This window comes from Homo sapiens, chromosome 18 (genome assembly GCF_000001405.40).
Source record: "Homo sapiens chromosome 18, GRCh38.p14 Primary Assembly".
NCBI classification, from domain to species: Eukaryota; Metazoa; Chordata; class Mammalia; order Primates; family Hominidae; genus Homo; species Homo sapiens.
The window spans coordinates 60232674-60240026 of NC_000018.10; the positions used below are offsets into that span (position 1 = coordinate 60232674).

Sequence of the window (7353 nt, forward strand, 5' to 3'; positions counted from 1 at the left end):
TTTCACAAGCAGCTTCACCAATATGACTCACCTGAAATTTACATTAACATTCTCTAGGTAAGGAGTCACAGCTGTTATCATGATATTGCAGAGCCAGCTGTTATAGTTAAGTTGCTGAAGGTATTTGAGATTACAGCAGCAATATTGTTTGGGTGTATTACTAAGTCAAGAAGCTATTTATCTTTTACTGCCAGTAATGTAAATGTCAGAAGCCTAATTTATATTTCTGTTTTTTCCTGCCAAAGACTTTAGAGATATTTGGGAAAACACCAATAAATTGTAAGAAACATTTGGAAAAGAGAACATTTATAATATGTGTTATCTACCCTTTTTAGATTCTAATTATCTAGTTTCTAATAAAAGATTCATTTGTTATTTAATTTTATCTCTCCCTGTACTTACTTTTTGAATGATATTGTTAAGTAATTAGGTTTGCCACAAAAAATATAAGATATCCATTCAACGTTAATTTCAGATTTATAGTAAATAATCGTACTTATACTATAAAATTATTCATTGTTTACCTGAAATTAAAATCTAACTGGGATTCCCGTATATACATTTGCTAACTCCGGCAATCCAGATTTAGATTTAGCAGTGTGAAATTTGGAGTAAAGAACAAACTCATACACTGATTTGGCTACTTTATGGCTTTTTGACAGTATACAAATTATCTGAGCTTTCTAATTCTTACTTTTTTGGTTTATTTTTATCTGCAGTGTGGAAAAAATAAGACCTATTTTGCATACCTGTTCTGTATACAGCAATGTTGGTTTACCTTCCATTTGCCATCCTAAATGTTTGAAAACAGATGATTTACTCATATAAATAAACCTACTTTTTTCTTTTGGTTTAGCATAGGTTACTTTAAAATTCTCATCAAAATCATCTTTTAAATATATATATGGTCGATGAAATCTGTTTAGTTTCAAATCAAACACCTAGGCTATACAATACAGGCACTGATCTGTGAAAATTTCACTACAAAAAGTTTGTTTTAACAAATCAATTGAATATATAATTATCACATTAAATTACATTTATATATTTCCTGAAAAGTTGTATGAATCCGTGCTATATGCTCATCACAGACTAGCAAAGCCCATTACATTTGAAGAATTACACCTTCATGAACGGAATTATTATTTTTCCATTTGTGCTAAAATAACCTTTGCAAATTAGAATTCTGTGTCGAAAGCTTTGTGATGTGCAAACGCTGATTTACTTCAGGCTGGAGAAAGAAATGCTTTAGAGAATGGAAACCTCCAAGTAAGTATGTTTTCTAGGTAATTAAACTTCTGTAATATTTACATTTCTATAATTATAAAGGAGGTTAAGAATCTTTTAAAATATTATGACTTATTTAACGTGCAAAAAAGGTTAAACTATTATACAATGAATATATTTGTTCATACCATACAGTTCAGAAATACAATATTACCAACTTATTGAATCTCCCAGTATTTTCTTCCTTCATCATATTCCCCCTCTCTTTCCATTTACTGAAATTTGGAGATTATCATACCATGTATTCTTTTTTAAATGTAACTTTACCTTGTAAGTTTACATTTTAAGCAATATATGTAGCCTAGATTTGCATGTTTATAAACTTTATATATAATGTCCACTCTTTTATCCTACTCTTTTTCCTGCTTAGTGTCAGTTTGGTAGGATTCATCTATGTTACACACATATCTCTAGTTCACTTCTTTCTACAGCTGTTATACATTTGCCATTACTCAATTGATCGACAATCAGGTTAGTTTCAGGTTATTTTTTCAGTTGCAAAAATTGCTGCCATAAACATGCTTTGCTTATCTCTGTGCATATGTATGTGTTTTGTTAGTCTATATTCACACATATGAGTGAAATTTCCGGGGCATGGGAAATACATCTTTATGAGACATTGAACTGCTCACCACTATCATAGTATCCATTTAAACAGACCAACAATGTATAAGAATTCCCTTTGTTTTACATGCTTTCCAATCTGATTTTGTATGACTATTGTATGCACAGTTGGATCACCTTGTGGTTAAATTTTCATTTCCCAAATTGGTAATGAGTAAAACATCTTTTCATGTATGTAATCGCCATTTACAATTTATCTTCTGTGAATGGCTTCTTTTTCCTACTCTACTATTTTTTTCTCCTTTTGTTATACATTTGTAGGAGTTACTTATACATGGGGAGTTATAATCATATCTGTGTGTCTCTGTATGTGTATAATTGTTGACTCTGATTTTTATTCTCTTATGTACAGAAAGTTGAATCTTAACATGGTTTATGTCTTAGTTCATTTTGTGCTGCTATAACAGGATACCCAAGACTGGGTAAAAATTTATAATGAACAGAAATTTATTTCTCAAGGGTCTGGAAGCTAGGAAGTCCAAGATCAAGGGACTAGCATTTTGCAAGAGCCAGTTGAGACAGATTCTTTGGCCACAAGACCCTTCTTATAAAGGAGGTCAAAATTAAATATTCTGTACCTTTCAATCAAAGGTGTATTGGAGCCAGCTTATCCAGCTTGCAAGAATTGACTGCCAAATTTTCAGAAATTTTGCAATCTGGTTGTTAAGCCATCCGTACCTGGAATCAGTCATGGCGGGAGTAATTATAGCATAGAAATTAGCAAACACTGTGAAGCAGAGCTTCCCCTATCTTTCCCCTGTCTCTCTCCAAAGAGCCAGTTACTAAACATTTACTGTCACATTCCTTTCATTCCAGCTTTTTTCAGTCAACTCCCAGTTGTTAGACCTCTAGCACTTCCATCAAACCTTCACCTACTAGAGTGTCCAAAATGCTTTTCAGCATTTTTGGCTACATATGCAGGTCTCTATCCATCCTATTCATTCTTTTCCCACCTCCAGATACCTCCATTGTGTCCGTCACTCCTCCATTAGCAACATCCGCTGCATGATCACCTTTCCTTTTAGCATTCTTTCCATCTCTATTCAAATATTACATTGCAATGATGATATCTACAGATCTTATCCCAAATAGCTTTTCCAACCTCACCACTCTCCTTTGCTCTTTTTTTCACAGAAATTATTATTAATGATTATTATATTACATAATATGCATTCTTATATTTACTTTCTTTCTCCCACCATGGAAATGTAAACTCCCTAAGTGTGAGAACCTTGTTTCTCCCACTGTATTTCTCAAACTTAGAACAAGTTTTGGCACATGAGAGATATTTGTGTATTTGTAAAAGGAATAAAAGAAGAAAACAGAAAGGGAAGATAAATTTCCTCTATTTCTTTGCTGTAAGTAAAACTTTTTTTTTTACCTTGAGGACACAGGTTCTCCTGAATCTGAAGTGGTAGCTGTTGTTTTTTTGATGTTCCACATTCACTGAGACCAGGAGGTAGACAAGTATCTTTCTTTCTTTTCACTGCAATTCTAGGTTTTTACTCACTCAAGACAAAAAAAATGTTTCTTTTTTCTCCTTTTGTTTTGTTGTTGAGGTTCTTGACATTTGCTGTACCACCTTTTCCCATCCTCACTGTTGTTACCCTGTGATGTTACTGCCTTCCTCTCCACCCAGTGCTCTGTCATCCTGGTGGTTGTGATGGTTAGCAATCACATGACCATTCAGCCAACACCATTTTTTCTTGGATCTCTTGCCCCTGCCCTAATCCTTTTATCCTTTACTTCAACCATCCATTCCCATATTCACACCTTTGGATCTTGCTATTCTCAGTAATTGCTCCATTTCCAAAATCACTGATTCAATAATCTAACTCTGACCATAGCCTCTCTCCCTCCAACTTGCTGGAATAACCCCACTACACTCATCCTCCAACCTCTTTAAGCCATCAAACCATTGATCTGCGTAATTTCTCCCATTTCTGCTGCTACCTGCTTTCTCCATTTCTCTCCTAACCTAAATTAGAAACCATGACCTGCAATTGCAACATTACTCCTGAAAATACCCTAAAAATGCCTGGTCCTTCTATTTTCTCTGCAGCTCACTGGACCAACTGTAATTTGGATGAATTTAGCTCTTCATTTTTTTTTTTTTCATGACTGAGCTTAGTTGTCATTTTCTGAGTGCTCCCGGAGAAATTCACATAAAAGAGAACATTAGTTTCTGTCTATGTTTATGTTTCATTGACTTCCAATGGTCTTTTCGTACTGCTTGACAGTCCAATTAAATCGCTGTACAATGTATTCTCCGATTTTCAAAATAGCTATTTCAAATTTTCTTTACTCTCTTGAACATTCCAAATCCCATTCTCCATCCTACTCCTTATTCTTAGCAGTCTTGCCTTCCTCTCTCCTTTTTAGAGAAGACGGAAGGCCTCAGAAACTTTCATTCTCTATATCAAATAAACATACCTCCCTACCCCTGAATTCACTGTCTCATTCCCTCCTACTACTTTATAAGAGTTTAAGTATGCAGGTCATCGATCCTTGACAATTTTTAAAAACATATTTATTGAGATATAATTGATATATAAAAACTCTGCGAATCTAATGTATAGAATTTAATGAGTTTGGGTATATCTATACCCCTGTGAAACAATCATCACAATCAAGGTAATAAACATCAATTACCTGTAAAATTTCCCTATCCCCTGCTGTGTGTTTTATTTGTTTGTTGCATGATTTTTTGTGTGTGTGGTAAGAACACTTAACATGAGATCTACCCTCTTAACAAAATTTTAAAGTGCACAATACAGTATTGTTAACTACAGGCACTGTATTGTACAGTAGATCTTATATTCATCTTGCATAACAAACTACTCCATCGAACTACAACTCCTCATTTCCCCTTCCCACCAGTCTTCGGCAACCATCATTCCAGTCTTTGTTTCTATGAGCTTGAGTATTACAGATACTTTATGTAAGTAGAATCATGCAATATTTGTCCTTCTGTGATTGGCTTATTTCACTTAGCATAATGTACTCCACTGTTTATTTATGTCATATGTCAGAATTCTCTTCTTTTTAAGGCTGAATAATATTCCATTGTATTTATATGCCCAATTTTCTGTATCTACTTATCTGCAATGGACATTTAGTTTGTTTCCACATCTTGGTTATACTGAGTAATGCTGCAGTGAACGTGGGCATGCCGATTTGTCTTTGAGATCTTTATTTCAATTGTTTCGAATATGTACCTAAAAGTGGGATTGTTGGATCATGTGGTAGTTCCATCTTTCAGATTTTAAAGGAAACTCCATAGTTTTCCACAGTGGCTACACCATTTTATGTTCTCACCAACAGTGTGCAAATTTCTCCACATCCTCACCAGCACCGATTATCTGTTTATTTTTTGAAAATAGTCATGCTGACAGGTGATATTTCATTGTGAAATATATCACTGTGGTTTAGATTTGTATTTCCCTAATGATTAGCTATGTTGAGCTTTCTATATACCTGTTGGCCATTGTATGTCTTCTTTGGAGAAATGTCTGCTCAAGTCTTTTGCCCGTTTTTAAATCAGATTATTTGATTTTTTGCTATTGAGTTGTAGAAGTTCCTTATTAATCTTTGATATTAATTTCTTATTAGATAAATGGTTGGAAAATATTCCCTTTTATCCTTTAGGTTGCCCATTCATTCTGTTGATGGTTCCCTTTATTGTACAGAGCTTTTTAGTTTGATGTCATATTTGTCCATTTTTGCTTTTGTCATGAACCCTTAACAATTAACATAAATTAAACGACAGCCCAGAAAGAAGAAAACCAGGAAGGTTTTCTCCGTGCCTTTCCCTTCCTTCTGACACTATTGAATGTTTGCTGTGGCTTTTGGAAATATTAAGTACAGAGTTAGGGACCATAAATTTGCCTGGGATTTTAAGGGGAGATAGTGCCAAGATGTGATACTTGAGTAGACTATTGACAATCTGAACTTCTTAAAAGTGAAGTTTGTAAGACATACTTAATACTGAACTAATAACACTGAGACCTAAAGAAACCCATTTCCTTGAGAGACGGTTCAGGCTATAGCTGCTCAAAGAACTCCCAGTATGCATGAGCTGTAAAAGTCCCTTCTGCTGAGATTGCACAAGATAGGAAATCGAGGAAGATGTTCATTTTTTGGACTTTTAACTCAAAAAAGCAAGTTTTTTTCCTTTTTAACTTTTATTTTAGGTTCAGGGGTACATGTACAGGTTTGTTACACAGTTAAATTGTGTTTCATGGGGGTTTGGTTTACAGATTATTTCACCACCCAGGTAATAAATGTAATATCTGATAGGTAGTTTTTTGATCCTCACTCTCCTCCTACCCTATGCCATCAAGTAGGTTCCAGTGTCTGTTTTTCCTTCTTTGTGATCCTATGTACTCAGTGTTTAGCTCCCACTTGTAAATGAGAACATGCAGTATTTGGTTTTCTGTTCCTGTGTTAGCTCACTTTGGATAATGGCCTCCAACTCCATCCATGTTGCTGCAAAGGACATGATCTCATTCTTTTTTTAAGGCTACATAGCATTCCATGGTGTATATATACTACATTTTCTTTATCAAGTCTAACATTTATGGGCATTTAGGTTGATTTCATGTCTTTGCTATTGTGAACAGTACTACAGTGAACATATGCGTGCATGTGTCTTTATGGTAGAACAATTTATATTCCTTTGGGTATATACCCAATAATGGGATTGCTGGGTCAAATGGTAATTCTGCTTTGAGTTATTTGAGAAATTACCAAATTGCTTTCCACGATGGCTAAACTGATTTACATTCCCACCAGCAGTGTATAAGTGTTCCCTTTTCTCCACAACTTCAACAGCATATGTTATTTTTTGATGTTTTAAAAATAGCCATTCTGACAGGTGTGAGATGGTTTTCACAGGGTCCTCATTGTGGTTTCGATTTGCACTTCTCTAATGATTAACGATGTTGAGCATTTTTTCATATGCTTGTTGGCCACATGTATGTCTTCTTTTGAAAAGTGTTGATGTCATTTGCCAACTTTTTACTGGGGTTGTCTGTCTTTTACTAGTAAGTTTATTTAAGTTCTCTATAGACTCTGGATATTAGATCTGTGTCAAATGCAGAATTTGCAAATATTTTCTCCTATTCTGTAGGTTGTCTGTTTACCCTGTTGATAATTTCTTTTGCTGCACAAAAGCTCTTTAGTTTAATTAGGTCCCATTTGTCAAATTTGTTTTTGTTGCAATTGATTTGGTGTCTTAATTATGAAATCTTTACCAGATCCTATGTCCAGAATGGTATTTCCTAGGTTATCTTCCAGGATTTTTATAGGTTTATACATTTAATCTTTAATCCATCTTGAGTTTATTTTTGTTTATGGTGTAAGGAATGGGTCTAGTTTCAGTCTTCTGCATATGGCTAGCCAGTTATCCCAGTACCGTTTATTGAATAGGGAGTCCTTTCC

General features: G+C 34.4%; 1 annotated feature.

The window, feature by feature from the left end:
• Positions 6706–6765: an enhancer, noted in NCBI's record as "active region_13427". NCBI's record gives its function as "activates an Ori minimal core promoter by ATAC-STARR-seq in GM12878 lymphoblastoid cells {active_cell/tissue: GM12878}" and the evidence as "EXISTENCE:reporter gene assay evidence [ECO:0000049][PMID:35858748]".